The sequence below is a fragment of the Homo sapiens genome, chromosome 2 (genome assembly GCF_000001405.40).
Source record: "Homo sapiens chromosome 2, GRCh38.p14 Primary Assembly".
Classification (NCBI taxonomy): Eukaryota; Metazoa; Chordata; class Mammalia; order Primates; family Hominidae; genus Homo; species Homo sapiens.
In genome coordinates this window covers 87,432,024-87,459,753 of record NC_000002.12, presented here as the reverse complement: position 1 = coordinate 87,459,753, position 27,730 = coordinate 87,432,024, and the positions used below count along the sequence as shown (strand labels likewise).

The 27,730-nt window shown below is 44.6% G+C and overlaps 3 long non-coding RNA genes across 6 annotated transcripts in view, besides 1 other annotated feature; 1 reads left to right on the top strand and 2 right to left on the bottom strand.

Moving 5' to 3' along the window:
• The window catches only part of NCAL1 (NK cell activity associated lncRNA 1), a 282,375-nt gene extending 278,100 nt beyond the window's left edge, over nucleotides 1-4,275 (bottom strand). The window contains exon 1 of the long non-coding RNA NR_186253.1: nucleotides 4,109-4,275. This is a non-coding gene — a long non-coding RNA (NK cell activity associated lncRNA 1). The remainder of the gene's footprint in view (nucleotides 1-4,108) is intronic.
• CYTOR (cytoskeleton regulator RNA) overlaps nucleotides 1-4,327 on the bottom strand; it is a 66,092-nt gene extending 61,765 nt beyond the window's left edge. For all 4 annotated transcript variants that reach the window (NR_024205.3, NR_024204.2, NR_146461.1 and 1 more), the window contains exon 1: nucleotides 4,109-4,327. This is a non-coding gene — a long non-coding RNA (cytoskeleton regulator RNA). The remainder of the gene's footprint in view (nucleotides 1-4,108) is intronic.
• LINC01943 (long intergenic non-protein coding RNA 1943) lies at nucleotides 658-20,231 on the top strand. The gene is made up of 2 exons (NR_187136.1): nucleotides 658-897; nucleotides 19,861-20,231. It is a non-coding gene; the product is annotated as a long intergenic non-protein coding RNA 1943 (long non-coding RNA).
• Nucleotides 2,461-3,046: an enhancer, noted in NCBI's record as "H3K27ac-H3K4me1 hESC enhancer chr2:87756227-87756812 (GRCh37/hg19 assembly coordinates)". NCBI's record gives its function as "activates a minimal SCP1, AML or CMV promoter by ChIP-STARR-seq in naive H9 embryonic stem cells {active_cell/tissue: H9 hESC(naive)}" and the evidence as "EXISTENCE:reporter gene assay evidence [ECO:0000049][PMID:30033119]".
• Nucleotides 20,232-27,730: the final 7,499 nt, after the last annotated feature.

Here is a 27,730-nt window from a genome sequence, read left to right as displayed (position 1 = left end):
TCCTGCCCACTCCTCCTTCCTGAGCGCTCAACTTCCTTCTGATCTATTGTCGGCTTTTCCTTGCCTGAGCTCTGTGATCTAACCAGAACCAAACGGAACCTATAGAGAGTCCAATCCTTGCCCGACAGCCCTGAGCCAGGCCCATAGCTGCCTAGCCTACAGCACTGGGGGCAGAGGGAGGTCCTCTGGATTATGGCACAGGGGGAATTTGCAGGAAAAACTCCCCACAAATTAGCACCATCTACAATTGACCAACAAAGTGCAGATACTTCTCAGCATTCAAAGCCTAAACAATCAGGATGGAGACGTATAAAGCATTCAATGCTTCATGTTGGCAGGACGATACCAGGTATTTCACTGACAGGTGAAATAGCAGAGTGACGGGACAGAGTGATCAAGGCAGAGTGATCTAAAGGACACAGTAGTACTTCTTTAGGACCCTGGCAGAATGGAAGAGAGCATCTGGCTTCTAAGGCACTGCACAAACTTGAATGATCTTCTTCAGAATTGACAAGGAAAGGCCATGTTATGTTCACCCTGGGTTAAGTTTTAAGTGTATCTTATTTAATTTTTTTCAATATGAGTCATCTCCAGATACTGTGATGATTTCCAAATAACCAGAATCTAGATGACTAGAAATTTACTCTAGCTGGCTTTAGACAGGAAGCGTGAGGACAGAATCCAGCTGCTTCCACTCCAGGGTAGGTCTGAAGCCAACCGTCCTCGGTTTCCTGGCCTGTGGCATCAGTCTGGTTGGATTACACACAAAGCCCTGCAGATCTGCTGCTTTTCCTGATTCTCCTGTCCTGAGTGAGTGCAAGGGGCTCCCCTGTCGCCGATGTGTTCTTTGAAGCAGATGCTGTGCCTGATACCTGCTGGAGAGTCCCACCGCCTTGAGTGAGTCAACAAACCTATCATCCTTCCCATCTTCCAGGATGGATATTGGGGTGGGGGGAGGTTAAAGGGAATACCATAAAGTTGCTACCATACGGTTAGGGCTGAATACAATGGGAGTTCTTATTGTGATGATGTCAATGATGATGACAGTGATGATGATGATGATGATGATGATAACTAGAACTCCAGGTTTTCCTGGAGAGAACCAAGGAGGATTCCCCACTTACCTAATAAATAAATGTCCTGTAAATGCAGAACATGCCATGTAATTGATGACACAAGCGGGATCTCACTTCTGGGGGATGAGAATCAATTCTTTATGGATTCCCACAGGGCAGAGGGACCCGGGTGGAGATACTAAGCTGTCTGTTATATTTCCGAACGAATGAGTACGTACGTAACAGTTATCGTGTCTCCTTGTAACTTGTGTGCTAATCATAAAATCTTCACAAGGACTCATGACATTCGTGCTATGACTTTTCTCATTTTACAGTGAGGAAGGCGGGACACCTAGGAATTAAGTAACTTGCCAACATAGGGACGAGCTCACCACACAACAACCAAGGGTGGGGATACCAGTCAGGTACTGCGGAAAACACTGGACATGAGGTAGACCAGGTGCACCAGGTCCAGTTGCTGATGAGAGGTGGAGAGTGGGAGACAGGGTCAGTGAGCCACAGGCCAGTCCCTAGGCTGAGGGCAATATGACAACAGGACATTGGCCAACTTCCAGCTGTCATCACTGTCTGTGTTTCATTTTCACAGTTCGATTAATAAATGCTCTATATTCAGGGATGCCTGCGGCCTTATTTCTTGATGACAGAAGTGATAATATCAGTCCCCCCACAGGCTTGTTCCTCATGGGTAGGAGGTGACTCAACTCCTAATGTCCAGACAACTGCCCAAATTCTGCATGAAAAAAAACATGATCAATGTCTGGGATAAAAATCAGCCACCTTAAAACCCTTTAAAGGATTGAAGGCCATGGGACCCAGTGATAAGCACATGTCTGGGGCCCGGCACCTTCTCTGAAACAAGGATGATCGAATGTTGGTGTCCATACCGCATGGAAGAGCTGTCTAACGCAGTTTGCCTTTGATTGGCTCCCGTCTCCATGAAGGTGGCACGTCTCCGAGTGCTTACAAGGAGACAGGGTCTCACCCTGAGAGGACTCACCCAGAGAAACAAGCGGAGCTGCTCTACTGGCTTAGAAATGCCTGGCACCTGACTTGTGGAGGCTTCTAGTTGGCGTGAAATTGTTAGCCTTGGAAACAACTGCTGCTCACATTGGAACTGCAGGATCTTTCTTGAAAAAGCCATGGAACTAACTCAAGGGCCACAAGCCCAAATGCCTTCAGAGGGCAGATTAATAAGAGAGTCTAGCAGAGTTAGTGCTGATGGAGTTCCTTCTCCATCCAGGCCCTGTTCCGGCGGCCGGGCAGATGCTAACCCATGGGGACCACACAGCAGCCCCACGAGGCTGGCAGGCCCTCAGCCTGGCTTCTGAGCCTCGCTGTAATCGCACTCTCCAAGCTTTGTGGCATTAGGGTGTGGCAGGGCCTGAGATCCGGAGAGTGTGGACCCCACCCACAGTTATCTCAACACAAAAAAACAATCCTGAGCAGGCCAAACAGAACCTGGTGGGGGATGCCTTCACCAGGGCTGCATCTGGTCCCAGAGCTGCTGGTTTGCAGCCCAACTATTTCGTTTTATTTTTTTAATTTTCTCAATATTTATCTTCTTTTATCTATAAACGAGTAAGGTTCTGGGGAGGTTTTCTTCCTTGGAATCTTGTTCTCTCATTTTAAGCTGACTTAATCTTCCCACGCTACACGTCACATGCAGAGCGCCAACTTTGAAGTTCACTCGGTGACCGACTCTCCCGCCCAATCCCTCGGCGAGGGTGACGTGCAAGCGGAACATCTCAAGGCTCCAGATGCAGGCTCAGCCCTCAGCTGCCCTAGCCTTAATAAACACTAGATTTTTCATTTCAGAAACTATGTTCAACCTGTTGCCTCAAGACAACCTAAAAATCGTCAACATTAGCCAAAGGTTGGAAGCCAAATGTGTTAGCTCCTGCCTCAGAGACAGATCCCTTAGCAGAGGGGGTCTCTCAGCAGTAGCCCAGAGGAGCTGGGACCCAAGCTGGGAGCTGGTCACTTACATAAGGGCGGCATCCTAAGTCGATTTTAACCCCAAGCCTTCCTACGGGGGGCCGGCCAGCCACCGTGCTGTGCTGAGGAGCAGATTGAACATTCTCTTAGCTGCTCCAATTTTAGAATTGGGTGCTGACTCATTATTAACTCAGGAAGCCCACACACTCAAATGACTGTACTGAAAAAGCTCCCTGTCATACCCTGCCTACTGATGTGTTGCTTTTTAAGCAAATTTGAAAAATGTTTATCATAAGGTATTTATGACATTTTAACCGTTTCATTTACAGTAACTAGAACAACATTAAAAAAAAATGTTTCCTGTATTTTACTTGACAGTAAAGCTAAGCTTCATCGGAATACTAACAGCCTGAGAAATACCTATCAAGATCAAGTCAGGCCTCAAAGACTGAGTGGCCCCCTCCTCAGTCCTCCCCAGTCCCCCACCCCCAGCGCTGGCCCCCAGCATTTTTACGTTCTTCCTGATTTTACTACAGTTTGTGACTTTCAACGTTAAGGAAAAGGAAAGGACGTAAAATACGCTCCTGCAATCATTCATATGCTTTTAGAGAAGGCAGCCAAAGTTCTGCCTCTCTGGTATTTCTCACACTGAAATTGGGCAGCTCTGACCACGAGGCCAGAAATGGCTCAGGAGCTGCCTCTCCTCCACCTCGGAGAAGCGGAAGCTCACCCAACCTCAGCAACCCTGGGTTAGCACAAGTATACCCACTTCCATCTCTGAGCTTCACTTTGGCTTCTCAGAGGAGTCCCGAGCAGCTTATTTTCCAGCCAAGCACTGCAGTCTCTTCCAAGACAACAGAAGGTGCAACCGGCATCTACATTCTTACAACGAAGGACTGAGAAACACCTCCTGACAGTCACACTAAAGGACAGTAACCATGGGGCTGGTGACAGAGGCAGCCACTTTTCTAAAACGACAGATCTTCAAAGTCTGAAAGAAACGCAGTGTCCTCACCAGGACGCAGCAGCCTTTCCCACAGCCCAGACTCCAAGGCAAACTGCAGAAGCAACCCTAAAAATGACAGAAACATACTCACCAAGGAGAGGCTGGTGGCTCCACCTTCCCAGGAACTGTGCTGTGAAGATCTGAAGACAGGCACGGGCTCAGGCACCGCTTGTCTGGAATGTCAATTTGAAACTTAAAAAGCAGCGACCATCCAGTCATTTATTTCCCTCCATTCCCAATGATGTACACACGACTAAGAAGGAAAAAAAAAAAAAGGCGCACACCTCAGCCTTCATTCTCATTGGAACGAGATGACTCATGCTGACTCATAGCCACCACTTCCTCTCCCGACATTCTCTTCATACTTGTGAGCTGGACTGGTCCGGTTCCCAGGGTCCCTGCAGCCCTTCCTGGAAGAGCAGCCTTCCTGATCCTCTCAGAGAGACCCAAACACTGACCCCACATGGGACCCAGGGGTCGCCCACACAGGGGAAATGCTTTATTTAGGAGTCTTGAGAACAACTGGAAAATAAAATGCATGAACTTTGTGTGCATTTGAATTTCAAATACATACTCAGATTTTGTAATGTGCTACAGGCTCATGTATGAAATTCTTGCTCTTTTCAAGGCAGTTCAGAGTAGAGAGAAGCATAAGATATTTTCTTATTCTTTTAGGTGTTCAGATTTACTTTGCTCTGGTAATAACTATTTCGGTGCCTGTTTTCTTCTGCATGTATTCCTCTGACATAACAATTCACAAGATCTAAAATCATCATCTCTTCAAAGCTGTCTGTTAGCGGGGTTCGTGCCCTGTTTATAAGTTTACATGACTTACCTCTTTTCTATCCATCTTTCAGACTTCAAGAATATTCTAGATTCAAATAGTAAAGCACCAAGGAATTAAATGAAGGTAGAGCAATCCAACTCTTAATAATTGTTGGAGAATGTTTATCTGCAAGAATCAAGAATTGTCGCTGCCTCCTGGTTTTCTTTTGAATAATGCAGAGGGCTGGGCAGCCTCCCACAGCTTCAAGCATTTTTAAATTATGAGAAGCACTGGGTGTGAGCAGAATCCATGTGATCCTTAGCAGCTGCTCAAGAAACCACCAAAGGCTGCTGTGATTACATCTGCCCAACTCAAGGTTTCTGGGGGGTGACACAGTCAAAGTCATGGATGAACAATGGTGCCCTTGGAGCCTTTTTTGGCTTAGTACCTGATGCTGTGTAGGCTATATTCTGATATAGACTTAGAGTAAATAAGGAAATAATATTTTGTCCGAGGCATGAGACCCAGTTTTCATCTACAGCTAGATTTATCTTAGGGAAAAAATATTTATTCCTTTGCCACATCTCAAATATTTTATTGGGAAATTCAGGGCATTTTTTTCCATCAGGCAATACCAAGTGCGGTGAGTTCCCTATGAAAGTTGTAGCATATTGGCCATTTGGCCAAATAGTCTCATTCCTTGCAGTTTTGTGTTTTATGGGTTTTTTCCCCCAGGAGAGTTCAAAGCCTGCTGGTTTTCCAGAATTTAGGAATGTCTGTATTGTGCAATTCATTGCAGTGCATTTCCTTTAGAGAAAAGAGTGGAGAACAGGAAGGAGGCACAGCCCCAGAGACTGCTTTGAGCCCAGCCCCTGTCATCCACAAGGGGCTTGCTTGCCTGAGGCCCCAGGGGTGTGGCAGCCCCACTAGAAGAATGCATTGACCAGGAGCTCTGCAGAGGATGTGGGTTGTTATGTTTGTTCTCTATGTGGAAAGCCAGCCTTTACCTTCTTTATGAAGACTTTTACTTTTATTAAGTTAACTCATTAATTCCTAGGAGAACTGAAAATAAAAATTAATTTCAAAAAATAACACCAGGGATGAAAGAAAGAAATGTGAAATAGTTAGAAAACATGGGCTCCAAGCAGGGCCACACCTTCCTGCCATATTAGAAGTGGTTTCTTCCACAGTGGCACTGTTATAGGAGCCTTCTGGATCATTCTGAGGCTTTAGACACAGCCAGGGTCCCGAAAGAGCAATTTGGACTGCCACCATGGAGAGTGAGTGAAACTGTGTCCCCCCCAGTGTCGCATTCAAAGATAATCCCACAAATGCTAAATCTTAATTCCTGATTGACTTCAGCCCTTCTCATTTGGAAATGGGCTGGAAAGTGGGGAAAAGGTGCTAGTGTGAGAAGAGGGAGGCCATTCCCAATATACTAATAAATAAATCATTCATTGAGGCATATGAGCACCAGCCCCACATAATTGCTAATATGGAACTTTCTGGGAGTAGATTATCTTTAAGCTGGCTCTTAATATTCCACCAGAAAGGAAACAATGATGACATTTTATACACCGCTACATTGAAAACACGGAACATCTGCATGCTCTTTCCCCAAAGAAAATAGCACTGGAAAAATGTAGGTTGCACGAAATTAGGAAAACAAAACAAATTTCATTTCTAAAGACAGTGTACATTCCAGCATGTCAGAGAATTATTATAAATAATGATGATTCACAGTAAAACTATCTAATATGTGCCAATAACTCTCCAAAACACACACAGGTATTAAGTCTTCTGATCCTTCCAGTAGGTCTATACCAAAAATAGTGATATCCTGCCCACTGTTTAGCAAAGAAACAGAGGTGTTCAGGAGCCTGCCCAAGGCTGCAAAGCCTGGATGTGAGCCCAGGCCTCCTGGCTTCAGAGTCCACATTCCTAACCACCAAGCCAGGCAAATTCCCACAAGTGACTTTTCAAACATCTTCGCATACACATTCCCTGAGCTCATGATGTATTCTCCCAAATTCTGCACACATACATGAGGCAAAGGCACTTTCTCTTCATTTGAGAAGTGAATCAAAATCCTAATTTTCAAGTGATCTGTCTCTTAAAATAATATCAATTCTATTTAATGAAAAGAGCCAATTAAAATTACACATTGGACACTTCCCAGAAAGTACCATGAAGCTGTCCACACTACCAATATCTCCAGCTGCGCTGCTCCTCCTACCTGGAGGACACAAGACTGTTAGAGGCCCTCACATCCCTTCCTTCGCTTACACCTTCAAAGCAGGTCTCTTCATCATCCTCCATCCAGGAGAAGTTTCATGCCTTCATTTCAAATCTAGACCCTCCCCCGTACACCTCATTTGTTCTCTAGGATTTTGCTCCTAACCAAATTTAGGCTCTTTCCTCCAACGTCTTTAATCGCTTCCTGTCTGTAGACCTAAACACAGGCTCAAGTCTCTTTCATCCCAGTAATACTATCCCTGCCTTTGACACTGTGGAGTAGACCCAATGGGTTCCCCCACATTCATTCCATTCCTCCTCCCTTGGCAGCAACCTTGACATTTGGTTAAGATGGACTCCACCCTCATAGCCAGGGGAGTCTTCTCATTGGCTATGCAAAATAAGGGCCACCCCTTGCCACTGTGAATGGCTCCTAGATGGGCTCCCAGGCCTATGTCAGTGAGGGCATGTTTTTTCTAGCCACCGTGGTAAGCTCAGGGGTGCCCAACTGGAGCAAAAACCCCAAGGCTACAGCGATTGCCTCAGGCAAGAAATAACAGGGAAGAATGCACAGAACTAAAGAGTCTCCTTCTTGCTTTAAAGTTTCAAAAGTTCAGGACAAGGTATTTGCTGTAGTTTAAATGTGTTCCTCAGAAGTTGATGTGTTGGAAACTTGGATCCCAATGGAGCAATATGAGAGGTGGGGCCTTTCGGAGATGATTGGGTCATGAGGGCTCTGCTCTCATGAATGGACCCATTCATAAATTAATGGATTAATGGGTTATCACAAAAGTGGGTCTCATATGAAAGCCACTTTGGCCGTCTCTGGTGGGTCCTCTCACCGTGTGTTGCCCTGAGCCATCTCAGGACTCTGCAGAGAGTCCCTACCAGTAAGAAGCCCCTCACCAGTTGCAGCCCCTCAACCTTGGACTTCCCAGACTCCAGAATTGCTAAAAATAAATTTATCTTCTTTATAAACTAGTCAGCCTCAGGTGTTCAGTTACAGCAACAAAAAATAGACTAAGACAGTATTATAAAGAGAAAAATAAAAAACCTTGGAGGAATGGGTGAAGTCAGGCAACAATGTATAGTTGTACAGGTTATATACTGCACAACCCAATGGAGTAAATCCATACAAGTTGTGATGTGCCCAACCATATGTGGCAAAGCTAGGTGTAGAAACAGGCGATACCATCCCAAGCTCATATAAGGATTCCACAGGCTGGGTGATGAAGAGAGTTAGAAGGAAAGAGATAGAAGGAAGGGTGCGAACCCTGTTCCCCAAGAGGGGTGCTGGGAAGGAGAAGCATCATCACTCACTCCAGAGCAGTTTAGGGACTCTGAGAACAAAGAGACATCTGAAATTGGGATGATAGGATGTAAGAGTTTGATTGGCAGCTGGGCTCAGTGGCTCACACCTGTAATCTCAGCACTTTGGGAGGCCAAGGTGGGTGGATCACAAGGTCAGGTGATCGAGACCAGCCTGGCCAACATGGTGAAACCCTGTCTCTACTTAAAAATACAAATATTTGCCGGGCATGGTGGTGAGTACCTGTAATCCCAGCTACTGGGGAGGCTGAGGCAGGAGAATCGCTTGAACCTGAGAGGTGGAGGTTGCAGTGACCCAAGACTGTCACTGCACTCCAGCCTGGGTGACAGAGCCATATCAAAAAAAAAAAAAAAAAGAGTTTGAAAAGAGTTTAATTGGCAGTGCTTTCTTCTTCCTTAGTGGAACTTTAACTTAATGGTGCATCTTATAATTGAGGACATCTTAAATTGGATCTAATGTAGTCTGTAAAGTTAGGGAATTGCATGAGTTCACCACAGAAATGAACGTAGAAAAAGAAAGCAAGAACTGAGCCCTGCCCTGCAGCTTTAAGAGGTCAGGGAGTGAGGAGGAGCCAGCAAAGATGGGAGTGGGGGAAGTAAGGGCTGGTGAGGTGGAAGGGAAGCCTGGAGAGTGTAGGACCTTCAAGGGCAAGTGAAGAAGGTGCTTCAAGGAGGAGAGACTGATCACCTGCATAATCACTGCTGAAAGGTCATGTAAGGTGGAGACAGAAAAGTATACATGGATTTGGCAAAAAAAAGGATTTGCTGGGGAAGAGGGGGTGAAACTCTGAATTGAGTGAGGAGAGAAAGGGGAAAGAAATTGAAGACAGAACAGACACTGCTTTCTAGAAATAAAGCTATAGCTGGAGGGGGAAATGAGGTCAAGAGAGATTTCCTTATTTGTTAAGATGGGAAAAATAATAGCCCATCCGTGTACTTGTTGATAGAAATAATTTGGTAGAAAGAGAAAAATTGATGATGCAAGAGAGAATGAGAAGGAATTTGGTGGGGTAGAAAGAAGGCTAGAACCTACTGCTCAAAGAGAGGGTTTGGCTATGGTGAGGGAGAATCTATCTACATGACAGGACATTGACCAGGCACAGAGATATGCTCTTGTAGTTTTCATACTTTGTAATAAAAGAAACATCAATTTTAAAAATTCAACAACAAATAGAACATGAAAATAGTCTGTCTACTTAAAACCTTAAAACATTACAGATGAAACTAAAGTCTCCTTTGGTGATGTTGTGGGATTTTATTTATTTTGATGTCTGAGAACTATTCCATTTTATGGATATACCATAGGTTGTTCATCCATTCACCTGTTGAGGGAAATTTGTTTTGTTTTCCACATTGGCTGTGACAAACACAACTGCTGTAAACATCTGTGTACATGTTTTTGTATGGATGTAAGTTTTTCTTTTGTCTAAAGTAAATAGTTAATTTACTGCTGGGTGATATGGTAACTGTATGCTTACCCTTATAAGAAACTGTCAAACTTTCTCCAAAGTGACCATACAATCCATTTTGCATTTCCGCCAGCAATGTATGCATGAGAGACCAGTTGATCCTCATCCTTTCCCCTGCTGGTATTGTCAGTATTTTTAGTTTAGCTGCTCTAACATGTGAGTCATGGTGTCTCCTCATAGCTTTAATTTGCATGTCCCTAATGACTAATGATGCTGAGCATCTTTCCGTGTGCTCATTCTTTTCTCCACTTTTTAATCGGATTCTTTGTTTTCTTACTGTTGAGTTTAGAGCCACCTTTATACATTCTAGGTACAACTTTTTAGATCAAATATGTAATTTGCAAATATTTTCTCCCAGTCTATATCTGGTCTTTTCATCCTCTTTAACAATATATTTTGCAGAATAAAAGTATTTTGATGAAATCCAGTTGATGTTATCTTTTTTTTATGGATAGTGCTTTAGGTCTTCTAAGGAATATTTGCCTAACTCTAGTAATGAAGATTTTTCTCCTGTTTTATTCTAAAAGTTTTAGAGTTTTACATTTTATATTTAGGCATATTATCAATTCTAAGTTAATTTTTCACAATATGTGAGGTTTAGATTGAGGAGTTTTCTGACTGAGGATATCCAATAAAACACCATTTGTTAAAAAGTCTATCTTTCCTCCATTGAATTGTTTTTGGGACTTTGTAAAAAAAATCACTTGGCTGGCTGGGCATGGTGGCTTACGCCTGTAATCCTAGCACTTTGGGAGGCCAAGACAAGCAGATCACCTGAGGTCAGGAGTTTGAGACCAGCCTGGGCAACATGGTGAAACCCCATCTCTACTAAAACAGAAAAAATTACACAGGCATGGTGGTGCACGCCTGTAGTCCCAGCTACTCGGGAGGCCAAGGCAGGAGAATTGCTTGAACTTGGAAGAGGGAGGTTTCAGTGAGCCGAGATTGTACCATTGCGCTCCAACCTGGGCGACAGAGTAAGACTCCGTCTAAAAAAAAAAGAAATCACTTGGCCATATTATGTGCATTTATATTTGGACTTTCAATTCTGTTCCATTAATCTACCAGTCTATTCCTTTCCCAACACCACAATCTTGATTAATACAGCTATATGTTAAATCTTAAAATCAGGTAGTATGTTTCCTCCAACTTTATTCTTCTTTTTTCAAAATTATTTTGGCTATTCTTGGTTTTTTTCTATATAAATTCTAGTATCAGTTCATTTGTATCTACAAAATGTCCCCCCCTTGGATTTTGAAAGGAACTGCAGTAAACCTATCAATGAATTTGTGTAGAATCTACTTCTTTACTACATTAAGTCTTCCAATCTATAAACATGGTATAGCTATTTACATAGTCATAGTTTGGTGTCTCAAGCTATATGAGCTAAAAAGTATTTTCATTAAATACTTGGGTGTTGGTTTAGTGATTCTCAATAAGTCATTTTATTGTCTTTATAAGGCCCTAAATTAAACAACCCCTACAAGTATTCTTATGTATATGGCTACCAAGATTTGATGCACCCACCCTATTATTTGGGTGCTGAGAGTGGGCTGAAGTATTAATAGATTAAACAGCCCCTTACCCCTACCTTTTCCTTTTTAAGAAACTCAAGAGGCATCATTCTGCTCAAGCAAGGCCCTTGCTTTCTGTGAGGCCTCCAGTTTTCCACTGATCTTCCTGGCTCTGATGGTTCTTTTTTCTCCTCCCCTCTGCCTCTGCCCTGGGGCTATTTGCCAAGATTCCTAGCTCAAATCACCTCCCTTCTCACTTATTTAGAGACTTCATCTCCCAGCTCACAAGACTCATTCTCCTGGGCTGATGCTGGGGGTCCTCCCTCCACACCCCCATAAGCATTCCAAGAATGTCCATGCTTCTGGTTATGAAAGCTGGAATCCCCAAGCTCTCTTGGCTCTCACCGCTTCCATCTACCATCCATCCATCCAGAGGTGTGCTGGCAAATGTTTAGCAATCACATCTTCAAATATAAATGAATAAAGCAAACCCTGATTTGTAGTGTTTGCTGATTTCTCTAGTGTAAATTCTCCCCAATTGCCAATTGCAAACTACCAGCATGCTCTCACTGAAAGTGAGTTGGGCAGAGATGAACAAATTAGTTCCAAAACCCAGAACAAGTCACTGCCAGCACACCACTGCATCCATCCATCATCAAACCTGTGTGAGCACAGATTGCATTTTGGGCTTAATTCTCATGTGCACAATAATAATATTCTTGTTAATGGGAGTCACATTGATTTCACTCATGCTGATGATGAAAGGATTTGAGGGGTAACCAAGTTCTGGGGGCAGCAAAAACCTGGAAATGGTGCTGCTGACTCGTGGAAAATGGTGCAGCATCCGTGGGTTCAATCCATTGAAAAGCAGAGTCCTGACTTCTTTGGTCATGTCTGTCTTCGGTTACATCGGAGGTGATGGGAGTGAGGAGACAAGGCACCATGGATAGTTCCGGTCCTTATGAACAAAGTAGCCCAGTGCGTCTCACCTGCATGGCTACATCAGATTGTCAGAAAATCTGCCCAGCAGAATTTCCAATGCAGCACTGGATTCTCATCACACTGCAGGGTATTATTCAAGGTCATAGACTCTGGGGGCCAGAATGCCTTGATTTGAATCTGGTTTCCACTGCTGGTTGTATGACCTTGGATAAATCACCTAACTTCTTTGAACCTCAGGGCAGTGGGCAGAATTCTAAAGATACTTCCCCAAGATTCCTGTCTCTGCTTTTTCAGTCAAACACTAATAATAGGTAATACTGCAAGAGGATTTTGTAAGTATAATAAAGTCCAAGTTAACTGACCACAAAATAAGGAGAATAGATGAGTAGGCCTGACCCAGTCAGGTGAGCCCTTTAAAAGCAAGGCATTGGCCAGGCGTGGTGGCTCACACCAGAAATCCCAACACTTTGGAAGCCTGAGGCGGAAGAATCACTTGAATCTAGGAGCTCAAGACCAGCTAGCAACATGGTGAGACCTTACCTATAAAAAAAATTAAAAATTTAGCCAGACATGGTGGTGCATGCCTGTAGTCCCAGCTACTCAGAGAGGCTGCAGTGAGCTGTGATCATGCCATTGCACTCCAGCATGGGTGACAGAATGAGACCTTGTCTCAAAAAAAAAAAAAAAAAATTGCAGCGCGTTTTCTCTGGCTGAAAGCAGAAGAGGAAGTCAGAGACGCAAAGCAGGAGAAGGTCACGTGTCAGGAATTCGGGAGGTCTTTAAGCACTAAGAGCAACCCCCAGCTGACAGCCAGCAGTAAAACAGATACCTCTAGGTTATAGCCAGAAGGAATTGGATTCCACCAACAACTCCGATGAGCTTGCAAGTCAATTTTCCCCTAAAGCCTCCAGACATGAACCCAACCCCTTTGACATCTTGATTTTGGTTTGTGTGACCCTGAGCAGAGAACCCAGTGGAGTCTGCCCAGACTTCTGCCCCACAGAACTGTGAACTCATAGATGGGGTTTGTTTTAATGTCACTCCATTTGCAGGAATTTGTTACACAGCATTAGAGAACTGACACATTCAGCCAATTTACAAAATGGGGATAAGAGTTTCATACTCATAGGGTTATATAAGAATTAAAAATTAATATCCACAAATGTCTAGGATGATAATAAGAACAATCTCTAAGTACTGGCTATTTTTCGTATGTGCCATGGAGCTGGTAAAACCCAAATACGTGTGGTTGATGATTTGAAAGTTTTTCCACCAATACAGTATTTGAGTCACAGGCTGCAGTCAAAAGTCTAGAATTTTAAATAAATGAATCATACACTAAATATGCATCATCTTTTGAAACTCAGTGCCTATGAGTAAATCTCGATGATCATAACACATTACTCAACAAAGCAGACCATAATAAAGAAGATATCAGAACACATGGAGCAAAAGACAGTAAGTTTGGGACTCAACCATTCAACTAATCTTTAATGAATACACACCAGATGCCAAGCTCCAACTCAGGTCCTGGGACACAGCAAGAAGAAGGCACAAAAGATCCCTGTTCTCGTGAAGCTTATATTCTAGGAGGGTGAGACAGAAAATAAGTACATGAGAAAAGTACAAGCTAGTGAATTGAACAGTGCAAAAAATTAGCATAGGGTAGGAGGGAAATACTTGAGATGGGCAGGTCATCTAGGAAGGTCACTCTGGAGAGGTGCCATTTAAGCTGAGATCTGAATGATGTCCAGGAGCCAGTCAGCAGCATTCCAGGACAAGAGAGCAGCTGTCGCCAAGACCCCAAGACACAAAGGAACAAGTAAGAGTCCCCAGGATGGCTGCTGCTTAGTAAGCAACAGCAAGAGAAGATGGGATGGGGCTGGAGAAGGTGGCAAGGAAGGAGCTTGAATTTTGTGCCAGGTGTGATGAGGAGACACTGGAGGCTTTTAAACAGGAGAGTGACATGATCTGACTTGAATTTTCTGAGGACAACTTTTTCTTTTTTTCTTTTCTTTTTTTTCTTTTTTTTTTTTTTTGGACAGGGTCTCGCTCTGTTGCGGGCTGGAGTTCAGTGACGTGATCATGGCTCACTGCAGCCTCAATCTCCTGGGCTCAAGTGATCCTCACACCTCAGTCTCCCAAATAGCTGGAACTACAGATGCACACCACCACTGCTGGCTAATTTTTGTAGTTTTTATAGAGACAGAGTTTCACTATGTTGCCCAGTCTGGTCTTGAACTTCTGAGCTCAAGAAATCCAGCTGCCTCAGCCTCCCAAAGTGCGGGAATTACAGGCATGTGCCACCATGCCCAGCCTCTGAGGATAACTCTTACTGCTAAGTGTGAAGCCCTTGTGTAGGACCAAGTGGAACCAAGGGAGATCAGTGGGTCCCCTTGGGGTCTGATGAGTGTAACAGAGACAGAAAGATGAGGACCTGTTTGAGTAATGTTTTGGAGATAGAGTTGTTGGATGGATTGGGTTCGAGGGCAGTGATGGAGAGAGATGAATCAAGCATAATCCTTCGATTTTTGGTTTGAGTAACTGAGGAGTGCCACTTACAGAGATGGGTGGTGTGAAATCCCAGATTTGGTTTTGGCCATCTTAATTTGGACGTGCCTATCAGATATCCATGTGGAGATGTTGAGTAGGCTTAGAATTCTTGGGAAAAGTCAATATTAGAGGCAGATTCAAGAGTTAATGTTCTACAGATGGAATTAAAGACCTGGCCTGGATGAGAGAGAGAGAGAGAATATGTGGAGAAAGATGAGAAGGGAACCCAGCACCCTCAGCCAGTGAGGGTGAGGTTGGAAGAACACCAAGAAAATCACCGCTCAGAAGCCAAGGAGTGAGCGTATCAAGAAGGCAGGAGAGGTCCACCTGCCAGCACTGCTGAGAGGTCAAGTCAGACAGGAGCAGAGCAGGATGCACTGACCTGGCCACATGGAGGCCATGGTGACCAGGGAGATGGCCCCGGCAGCCTCCATGAGTGAGGCACAGGAGCTTGGCTGCAGGGAGTGGGTGCAGCACCCATAGACAATGCTTTCAAAAAGAGAAGCAGGAAAATGGGATCTGGAGCATCCTTTGAGGCCCCACCAAGTACAGTGATGGCAATTGAATGATAGAGGCCTGGGATCCACCAGCCGGCTTCTGAGTATTGCAGTTATCCTACAAATGGAGAAGGCAGGTCAGCATGGAATTAGATGGGTGCTGCTAAAGAGTGCATGGTCCGTGAGTGTGCAATGACATCATTCAGTCCGGGCAAACACGTTTTTCTTGGTATCAACTATTTCTAGTTTGGTGAAGACAGACTATGTATTTGAAATACTAGCAAGAAAACCATAAAGTAAAACTATTATTAAGAGCCAAGGCAGTTTAAATTCTTCAGTTTTGGCTAACGGGAAGAACTTATAAGTGGTTTCTTTTTGTTGTAAGCAAGGGTGGATGATAGCCTTCATCATTTTGCTTGATTTGATGTAACTGGGAAGTTTCTTAGGCTTGATAACTGGCAAAACAAAATCCTTGACACCTAAATAACCCTTTGGTCTAATGCATACTGCCAAGAGATCAGACGGAGCCTGATCTACCATCTTGTTTCTTAGCTGAGTGATTCTTTCATAGCTTCTTAATTTTCACTTAATTATTCCATGCCCCTAATGACTCCCTCAAAAACACTACAAGGACAAATACACCCTAAGCAATCTGAGTTTGCCCTCTGAAAAGTTCATAATTAAAAACTTTACCTGTATTGAAAAAAAATCAGCACACTTCCTGACCACTACTCCTGAGTTGTTGAATTTAATCAGACATGGACTTGATAGAGTGCATTCATCTCTAGTGGCTGTTAATGGGAACCAGTGAGTCAAATCTCATGTCTAACAGGGGCCAGCCTGACTGAGGGCCTGAGAGGAGGTTCTCAGGTCAGCACTGGGTCCAACACAGTCCCTCCCATCCCAGGCATCGCCCACCTCTTCACAGCCTATCATCATCACAGTGTCTGCCTGTCCTTCCTGCCTCTGACCTGCACACTCCACTCCTTCTGTGAACTGCTTCTTTCACTTTTGTGATGACACAAAGTCATAGATCTGATCGGGCCACTCTGGGTTTCACATCTGCACAGTTTCTCGGGGCCCTTGTGTGGCTTCAAGGTTTGTCCCTGAAACAAACAGACCCAGAGTGGAACGTAGCTCCCAACTCAGTGGCCTTGAGAAAGAGCCCTTCCTGAGCCTTTGTTTCCTCATTTGTAAATTGAGAATAGCCCTGGTCATGAGAGAGTCCTCATGCCCCCACCCTGGTGAGGATGAAGTGAGATGATGCAGATGGTGAGGTTCACAGAGGGCCAGGCCCTTAGCGCCCAGCAAATGGCAGCTCTTTGTAACGGATATGCTATTGTTCTGTCTAACAAACTGCACCCTTTCCTGGGGGACCCTCTCCTTCCCTTCATGTGGTCCTAAAGTTCTGTCATCTTACTCTGCTTCCCACCCTAAACCACCTATCATTAGGTCTGGCTGCACATTTCTGGAAAAATACAGCAATGCATTAAGTCAGGACTTCTTTTTCTCTTTCATGTAAAAGTAGCCTGGCATAGGAAGCACAGGCCAAGGGTGCAGCCCCAAAGCATTGCTAGGAAATTGGGCCCCTGTCTTCCTGATCCACCATCCCAGAGCCTGGCTTTCATCTTCAAAGTGGCTTCACAGCCCAGGATGCCTGCTGGCACTCCAGCCAGCAAGTCCGTATTCCCCATATTGACAGTAGGAGGAAGTGAGGGACGACAGAAAAATGTGTAACGCCATCTCTTCCCACCGTGACGGAGCCTACTGAAAATTCCACATAATGGTTCCACATATGGAACTAGATCACCTGGGCTCACCTAGCTGCAGACTAGTCTAGAAAATGTGATCTTTCAACTGACACAATGCCATCTGAAATAGAATTTTTTTAAATTAAGCAAGAAGGGGAGAGGGGTATCTGTTGTCAAGTAGTAGTGTCTGCCAAGGCAGGGGGCCCCAGGCTGGACATGAGTGCCCTTCCATGGGATCTGGTCTCCAACACTGGCAGAGGGGTGGTCTGCATTCTCTATAGGTCATGGGCTGGAGGGACACAGTTGTACACAGAGGAACATGAGCCAGGGGAGGGAGAGAGGAGCAAGGCTGCCCTTGGGCTTTGGCTGGGGAAAAACTGATCCCCTCTAGACCCAAGTGAGTTTGAGTAGATTCTCCAATGCTGTCATGTTGATTAAAGCACCACAGTTATGACTGTTTATTCTAGTGAGAAGGTCATTCTATATAAGCTGATTATTGACATTAATAATACCCAAGTGACATCAGGGACTCCTCCAGCTGCATCCTCTCCCCAACCCCAAAGCTCCCTGCAGCCCCTTCCTCCATGCTGCCTCCTCGCAGGGTCTCAAACCAAAAGCCCCTTTTCTTTTCTCCCTGCCTACACCTGTGCTCCCCCCACCCCCAGCCTGCTCATTTCTCCTCCAGCCCCTCTCTCCAAGCAAATTCCTTCTTCGTCTTGAAGACCAGATTCAAATGTCACTTCCTAAGCGGAACTTTCCCCAACTCCTTTGCGTTCACTTGAGTCCCTAATGTTTGAATGATCTTTCATATTTTGCTGCAAGGCTTTACTCCTCCACTAAATTGAAAACACCAAGAGGGAAATTTTCCACCCTTCCCACACACACACTCCCACAGGTGACCATAAACACTTGTCACTGAATGACTGAATGAATGGCAAGTGGATGAGGTTTGGCCAATGCAAGCTCTACCCAAGCAGAAGCCTTCTGAGTGAGGGTTGCTGGGTGTGAACCTCACTCTGCCTCCACTGCCTCCTCTGTAAAAGAAAGATAACAATTCTGACATCTCTCTCAAAAGATTCACAATGCCTGACACAGCGTAGAACCTCAACTAATGTCAGCCATTCATATCGGTACTGTTTTACTGCACGTCGTCAACTCTGCGGTGCATATTTCTTTTTCACATTGTAATGGCACTTGCTTTATACGGCATGACATGGTTTAACTGGCAGAGGTTTGGGGTTTTTGGGTTTTTTGGGTTTTTTTGGTTTATTTTTTTCCCCTTGGTGATGCAACCAATGCTGTTTAGAAGTCAACGGAATTGTTGTTCTTAGGAAAGGAATAGAGTTCAGAAATTCAGGGCTTTGCAAAGTCAGAAAAGTCGACTGCTTATAAAGCCCAAATATTAGAGATGAGACTGTGCTGGCCTTTGAGTGGTCAAGGTCTGAAGCGGCTCAGAATGAGATGAAGGGAAAGGACTGGCGTTTGCCATATGGTGTTCCGGGAAGAGTCAAGGTAGCCACCATTCCATCAAATGAGAGTGAGGGAAGGGGCACAAAAGAAAAGCAATAAAGCAGGTCTGAGGCATAGGTCTTGGCAAGAATTCAGTGTGACTGCAGCCAGGGAGCTGATGAGAAGCAACTAGGTCAGAAGCTGACTGTGTTTTTGTGGATCCTGAATTGTCAAAGAAACCATGAGTTAAAAATATATTTTATGGATAAATTGGAATATTATTCAGCCATAAAAAGAATGAAATATTAATACATGCTTCAACATGGACAAGCCTTGAATACATTATGCAAAGTGGACACACACTACATGATTCCATTGATATGAAATATTCAGAATAGGCAAGTCCATTCAGATAGAAAGTAGTTTAGCGGTTGTCAGGGGCTGGGGGGGGAGGTGGGAATGAGAATAATTGCTTAATGAGTACAAGGTTTCCTTTTGGGGTGAGGAAAATGTTCTGGAACCAGACAGAAGTGGTGGTTGTACGATGTTGTGGTTGTCCTAAATGCCACTGAATTTGTTCATTTTTAAATGGTAATTTTATGTTACCTGAATTTCACCGCCCTCCCTTTTTTTTCTTTTTTTCTTTCGGAGACAGTGTTTGGTTCTGTTACCCAGGCTGGAGTGCAGTGGTGAGTTCATGACTCACCGCAGCCTCGACCTCCTGGGCTAAAGCAATCCTCCCACCTCAGCCTCCTGAGTAGCTGGGACTACAGGCACGTACCACCACATCCAGCTAATTGTTTTATTTTTTTGTAGAGCTGAGGTCTCACTGCATGGTCCAGGCTGGTCTCAAACTCCTGGGCTCAAGGGATCCTCCGGCCTCAGCCTCCCAAAGTGCTAGGACTACAGGCGTGAACCACTGTGCCCCACGACATCTCAATTTTTTTAAAGGCATTCGACTATTCAACTGTGGAACCTCCAACCTTCAGCAGCAGCAAGTGGGAAGGAGGAGCTGTGCAGACCCCACTAAGGGCATGTCCCTAATCCCATATCATACACAGCTATCCAGAGTGAGAGACCAGAGGGTCTCTCTGAGCACAAGCTAGGGGCCCCAGAGGACAGTGAGTAGAGAGGTTCCCCAGGGATAAACCAGAAAACCAGGGGGAAAGGCCTCCCACTGCATGCTCAGAAGGTTTATTGCTAGGCAGGGGCCCCTGTGTGCCTCCTGTCTGCTCCTCTTGGAATGGTGGTGCTGTTGCTATTATCCTGCCCCTGTTCTACTGTAGGGTACCGAGCTGTGTGTGGCAGCTAATTTATTGCTTTATTATCTGTTTATAGGCTTCTGGGTCGAGAAAGGCCAAGTTGCACACTACTGAGAGACTGCCATGCACCCCCTGGAGGCCTCAGAACATTCGACATGCTCCAGTCATGGCCACGGCAGTGACTGCTGATTGCCTAACCCCACATGTGTTCTCCCCCTTCCCTGATAATCAAGCCCCTGATTTTCAGCTGGGCACAAAATAATTCTTCCTAGAACAACTCCACGTGTGTTATCGCCCTTGCAGCTGGGGGTGGCCACCACTGGGGAGAGGCAGGGTGAAGAGGTCGAAGGAGCCTGAGTTAGCAGGGATGAGCAGTGGCCAGGTAACCCCAGACCCATTATCCTCTGGATTTCTTTTATGTGAAACAATAAAATGTCTTGTATTCGAGCCTTTGTTATTGTAGGTTTCTGCTATATGCAACGAACCGTTAAGTGTAATTGATACAGTGGGCCCCATCCTAATCAACTCTGGGTACCACATTGTAAAAATCTGCAGTGTGGCTGTAACCCCACCGTAATTTGCGATTTGGTGAACTTCCTTATTCTCTTAGATCTTTCAGAAATTGACTAGGGAACTAACAGTTTCCCACAAAACTACCCCACATTTTCATAGTAGGAAACTGCAACAAGGAACTTAACAAGTTCCTTGTTGGCAAGACAGTTATCCCTGAGCCTGCAGGCCGCCTCTCTGGCCACTAAAGTTTCTAGACAGGCCTGCAAAGCAGTAAAGGAAAGCAGCATTGATCACTGCGTCCCTCTGTACAATATTTACTTGAAAAATAATTGCAAAATACCTTGATTTTACCCAGGATATTTTTCAGCATGTCCCAAAGAGGAAATTCATTTCTGATGTAGTTTGTGGATTTTTTGTTTTTATTTTCATATTGTTTTTTGTTTTGCTTTCATTTCATGGGCAGTTTCGCCCACTGATTACCCAATGGACAATTGCTCCCACCAGTTTCTGTTTAATGTTTATATTATTAATTGTGAAAAAATATGAATTAACCAAGATAGCAGCTGCTCGTTAGAGTAACATAAATTTCTTTTATCAGATATTCTTAAAGCTGGGGAAAAGTATTAAAATATGCAAAATATGTATATTTTAATATAAAGTTTATTTTTGTATGATTATAAAAGTTATAAATGCTGCCTGGGGATAACCTAGAAAATTAGAAGAGTAGAGCGTATTTTTTTTTTTTTTTTTTTGAGACAGTCTCATCTGTCACCCAGGCTGGAGTGCAATGGCATGATCTTGGCTCACTGCAATCTCTGCCTCCCGGGTTCAAGTGATTCTTCTGCTTCAGCCTCCCAAGTAGCTGGGACTACAGGTGCATGCCACCACACCTGGCTTATTTTTGTATTTTTAGTAGAGACGGGGTTTCACCATGTTGGCCAGGCTGGTCTCGAACTCCTGACCTCTTGATCCACCCACCTCAGCCTCCCAAAGTGCTGGGATTACAGGCATGAGCCACTGTGCCCAGCCAAGTAGAGCATATTAATCCCACCTTCCAAAGCCACACACTATTAATATTTTCCTATATTTCCTTCTGCTCTCTCTCTGTTTACAGAGTTGTAGTTACACTGTATACATTGCTTAGGACTCTACTTTATTTCACTTAACATGACAACATAAGCATTTTTCCACATTATTAAAACTCCCTGGTACCCAGAGCTAAGTTCTATTTTTATGGTGAAGCATAGCTGGTTCTCAGTGGGCTCTGCTACCCAGCCTTAATCACACAAAGACAAGTTATCAGGTTCCCTCTGAAGTCCTGGGCTGCCCCTTGCCTACTGAGCAGGAACCAGAACTAAGGCTGGCATGGAGGGGAAGGACAGGCCAAATATTGTTTGGCTGCCTGCTCCCTCTCAAGAGCCAGCTTGCAGCCTGTTAAGGGGCCCTGCTGATCCAGAAGTTCTTTCTTGCAGAAACACACACTGGCTTTGAACCAAGGAAGCAGGCTTACTGCTGCAGCCCCAGGGGGAAAATCCAGACACAGAATAAAAAAGTAAACTATGCCAGTGATTGTACGGTGAGATAGCAGGACTGCTCATTTTAATTTCCAGAAAAGAGTCGTCCTTAATCACAGACATGACAAAGGCTGCCCAGCAGACTTCACCCCTGCTTTCCTCATGGCGAGCACACTGGAGATTTCAAAAAGCCTGTGGGCTAGGACCGGGGGGACAGCAGACACAGCCCACTGGGCAGCCCTGGGTGTTGACCCCAAGAGTGGACTCGGGGCCAGGCTCCTGGTGAGCGATTTGGCTTCCCTGAAGCAAAACATCTTTTCTGCAGAAATGCAGTGACAGGGCAGGGGCTTTGCTTATTTGTTCACTCCTGTGTCTCCAGCATCTACAACATGCCAGGCACATACTGTAGTATTTGGTATAGTTTATTGAATAATGACTCTTTTTGCCAACTCCCTTGAATGTTGACAATTAGAACCCAGTTTGAGTTCACAACCATTTCCTTGTGAAGGAACAAATGCCTCCAGGGACACACGCACTTAGCAGTCACTCTTTCCAGGTATGGCTCAGCCTTCGCAGCTTGCTGCTTCTTCACTGCCCTGCACCCCATGGTAAGGTGGGCATGGCTTCAGCAAAAGAATGGCAGAGGGACGTGGGGAAGTAGACACTACCCAGAAGAGAAGAGGTGCAAGTGATCATAGATAGACTTCTCAATCTCAGAATGTGGCTCAGCATATTCATCTTCTTCCAGTCATTTTTCCTTCCCTGTTTCTTTCTCTTTTTTTTTTTTTCTTTTTTTTTTTGAGACAGAGTCTCACTCTGTCACTCAGGCTGGAGTGCAGCAGTGCAATCTCAGCTCACTGCAACCTCTGACTCCTGGGTTCAAGCAATTCTCCTGTCCCAGCCTCCCAAGTAGCTGGATTATGTCAACTAGTAGTGTCTGCCAAGGCAGGGGGCCCCAGGCTGGACATGAGTGCCCTTCCATGGGATCTGGTCTCCAACACTGGCAGAGAGATGGTCTGCATTCTCTATAGGTCATGGGCTGGAGGGACACAGTCATACACAGGGGAACATAAGCCAGGGGAGGGAGAGAGGAGCAAGGCTGCCCTTGGGCTTTGGCTGGGGAAAAACTGATCACCTCTAGACCCAAGTCTGCAGAACAGCTAATTTTTGTATTTTTAGTAGAGACAGGGTTTCACCATGTTGGCCAGCTAGTCTCGAACTCCTGACCTCAGGTGATGCACCCGCCTCAGCCTCCCAAAGTGCTGGGATTACAGGCGTGAGCCACCACACCCGGGCTCTCCTTCCCTATTTCTTAATCTTTTATCTCCTCCTGGTTCCTAGGACCCAGAACTCAGGTTGGTACTCTTAATGCCATTTAAAGGTCAGCTGTGTTAAGAGTTAAGTATGATAAGCAGTCCTGTGCACAGTTTTTATCATTTTATTTCTGGAAAAATGCAATGACAGCTTTGACTTTAAAAGAATATTTTGGATCACATGTATGCTCTTAAGTTTGGTGCTGCTTGTCTGTAGAATTTTGTGGGCATCTGGACCAGTCAAGAGGAATTCCAGAGTCTCCTCTACACTGAGAGATAGGAAGGCCAAGCGGTGCATCTATAATGTGAAGGTGTTTTCTCTACAATAAGAGAAAGAGACTATGCCGTGATATATACAGATAGGCATATCTCCCAAAGTTAGGAAACTGTAACCACATCTTAGAATAGAAACTGAATCATAATCATCACCATTGTCATCATCAACATCATTGTCATCATCACCATCATCTCCATAGCCATCATCAACGTGGTTAATAAGTGTTGGGCTATTACTATGCCCTTGGCACTACGCTAAGCAATATGCATCTTCTCATGTAATCCTCTGACAGGCAACCACATTATAAATTAGGAAACTGAGGCCCAGAGATGTCCAGCAGCTCACACAAGGGGACACAGAAGTGACAAGGTGGGGACCCACACCTAGACAGTCTTTCTCTGAGACCTGGACTCCTAACCACTCATCATTGTAGGGAATGCAGAAGCAAAGCAGATGGGACTCCAGGACTCTGACTTTAATGGAAAGTGACTGCATCCTAAGCCCCTGCCAGCAAAGCAGGTGGGACTGGGTCTCTCGGAGTTGCCTGGGTTCTCATCTCTCTTATTCACTGCAGTGGCCCCAGGCAGTGCCATGCACACTCCAGATAAGCAGAAGGTAGATGTTGAATGGACATATGAATGACCTAGTTCTCAAGTTCATTTCCCACTGGGAACTTCCTCAAATTGCTTTCAAATATTTAAACCAGGCTTCCTGACCTGTACTTGGGAGGTTGCACTGTGATTTCTGTGCTCCCATTCATAGCCCTGAGACTCTAATGTTGGCTTACTTGTTTACTTGAGAGTGAGCAGCATGAGGGTGGGTGTTGAATCTCCCCCACCCAGTCACATGAACTCATAAAAGACAAGGACAACCATTAATAGAGCCATCGCTGGCTTGCGGGGCACAAAATCGGCTTGAGGAGCAGGCTTGGTGGTATAAAAGAACAGTACTCAAGCATTCTAATCAGGAGCCAATATTTCAATGAGGAGAGTGCGAACGAAGACATACAATGGAAAACTTGAGAATAGACACTAAGCTGAATATTAACCCAAGTGAAATGTTAAGTAGAGGATATGTTAGTGATCTAAGATAGACTTAAAACAATAAATATTTACTATCACAATTTCTGTAGATCAAGAATCTGCACATGCATTAGCTGAATGTTTATGGCTAACTGGATGTTTATGGCTATAACTGAAAGGTGGAAAGGGGCTGGAGGCAGTGGTGCACTTGGGGATAATGGTGCATGTGATTACATTTCCCAGACTCCTGAGCAGCTGGAGATGGCTGTGGAAATGAGAGTTGAGCTTGTTGAGTGGTACTTCCCAGGATGAACAGGATAGTCAGTGGGCTGGTGCCCTCTTTCTCTTCTCCCCCTGTTCTTTTCTTGTTGTTCTGCTGCTTGGAATGCAGACATGATGGCAAGAGTTCCAGCAGCTTAGGGCCATAAGCGAAAGGCTACAAGAACCACAGTGCCCTCAGCCTTTGAGCCAAGGCCAGCAACTGACTGCCTCCAGATTTCTCATTAGAAAAAACAACAACAACAACAACTCTTCTGTGTTTAAGCCACTTAGGTCGAGCCTGTTAACAGCAGCAGCTGAACCCACTTCCTAACTGGCTGGCCCTCTGTGGTAAGCAGCCTCTCAGATGGCTCCCAATATCCCTACCTCTTGGTACTCACACTCTTGTGGAATCCTTTCACTTGAATCTGGGCTGGATTTACTGACTTGATTCTAACAAAGAATATGGCAGAAGTGATGGAATATCACTTCCAAAATTAAGTTATAGAAAAGACTATAGCATCTGTCTTAAGAGTTCTCACATTCTTTTACATTCTTCACCCTGGGGAAAGCTAGCTTCTGTGTCATGAGATAACCCTTTGAAGAGTTCCAGTGTAGTGAGGACCAAGGCCTGCCAATAACCACATAGATACAGACACCACCCCCAACCAGATGAGCCTTCAGATGAGACTGCAGCCCTGACTAACACCTTTATTGAAACCTCAAGAGGTCTTGAGCCATAAACATCAAGCTAAGTCATGTCCAGATTCTGGACCTACAGAAATTGTGATAATAAATGTTTATTGTTTTAAGCCTATTTTAGATAACTAATATATCTTCCAATAATTTACTTGGGTTAATATTCAACTTGGTGTCTATTCTCTAAGTCTTTCATTGCATGACTTAGCTTACACTGTAGTTATTGATATATTGGCTCCTGAACAGAAAGTTTGGCATAGAGCCTGACACATAGCAGATGCTCAATAGATGAGTGAATAAATGAATGGGTGGATGAGTTAATGCATGACAGAGCCTATGTCCTACTCAGCTGGTCTTCAGCAACTGTATCCTCAATAAGTGTCAAACAAAGCACATAGAAAAGATGAAGGAGCCGGGCGCAGTGGCTCACACCTGTAATCCCAGCATTTTAGGAAGCCAAGGTGGGCGGATCACGAGGTCAGGAGATTGAGACCATCCTGGCTAACACAGTGAAACCCCGTCTCTATTAAAAATACAAAAAAAATTAGCCAGGCATGGTGGCGGGCGCCTGTAGTCCCAGCTACTCGGGAGGCTGAGGCAGGAGAATGGCGTGAACCCAGGAGGCAGAGCTTGCAGCAAGCCGAGATCACGCCACTGCACTCCAGCCTGGGCGACAGGGCAAGATTGTCTAAAAAAAAAAAGGAAAAGATGAAGGAAAAATAACAACTATGATTAGTTCATCAGTAATTTTACTTGGGTTGGCACTTCTAGACCCAGTTTTATGATTTGCTGAAGGAAAATTCCTCATTGGAGGCCTACTATGTTAGAAAAGTTTTTAATAGCACTCAACATTTATCTTTGGATGTAAAAGTAAACAAAAGTTCTATTTATTATTGTGCTCAACTAAACAACACATTAGTGGGATGTGTTAAGGCCAGAAACTACCAGTCAAATAAACAGACTGACATTAAAAGAGAAAACTCACCAAATTCCCTGATAATTTATGAACTAGGGCTGATTTCAGAATCAGCAGAAAGGGTGGTGGGAACCCTGACTGCAGCTGTGTGAGAGGCAATGAGGGATCATTCTTTAACTGTCACAGGCAGACAGGACTCTTATTCTTCACTGTCACAGGCAGACAGGACTCTTATTTTAGTCTGTCCAGTTTTTCATTTCATTATTCAAGACATTTAAATGGTCACCTGAGGCAAACTATAAAACCCATATTGTGCTTTAATCTAAAGCAGGTCAATTTAAGAGCTTTATGCCGACATGTGATTGTTTGCCAAATACTAGTTTTATGATGGAAGTGATAGGAGAAAAGGATTTTGCAAAACAAAGAGAGATAAAAAGTATGTTGGCTGGAGGGGCTGGCCATAGGGAGAAGAAAGAGCAGGCAAGAAGGAGGGTGCATGGCAGAGCAGGGAGATGGGTGAGAGCTCCGTGCTATAGCCTGATGGGATGGTCTGCCCAAGAGAGCAGGAAGGACACACTAAATATGCATGGTCAGGATCTGCTGCATTGCCATACAGTGGGGACATGATTCTCTCCAAAGTGACTCACATGACAAAGACAATATTTATTAATCTAGTCTCTAAATCCAGTTTTAAATTCAGAGAAAAAAATCTGTCTGGCTTTTTATGTGAATTGCTTCAATGTATTAAGTAGATGAATGGTTGTGGCTGAGGTCTTGTAGAGAGCTCAGAGGAAATTCTACCCCTCAAGAAGCCCAGGAGCTCCATCTGATGTTTATTCTGGCAGCCGTTTGATTCCCTCCACCCACTCAGTGCCTGCCCTCACCTCCTCCAAGCCTGCGTCCCCCCAGCTCTCTCAGGACAGGTCTTTGCAGGGCTGTAGAACATGGTTCCCATTCTACAAAGCAATGTCACTTGTATTTCTTAGAAATAATTGTATCCTAAGTAGCAACATCTTGAAAACATAAATGGATTCTACTACTGGTCAGAAAGGAGAAAGGTAGATCACAAAATTAATCAAGGAAGTAGTTAACATTGAGAAATAATCTCTTAAATTGTCCTTATTGTGGAAGGCCAAATGATCGGGAAAACCAGGCTCACACTGGTAAGGCAAGTGCCAACACCAGCCACAGGGGCTACTGAGTTCCAGGCAACGAGCGTAGTCTTCTTGTGGTACATTTTCCACTCTGTTGTTTGGATCTATCAGTGGAGAGGACCCACCAGCCAAAAGGACTGTCCCTTTCCTTAGGTCTCTTGGTCCATTTACACAACAATTTCATTCCTGAACCAACAAAAGGAAAAGTTCCCACGCTCCCCACACACCAAGATCCTCCCATTGCAGAAGCCCAGTGACTCCTTCAAAAGACACTCATCAG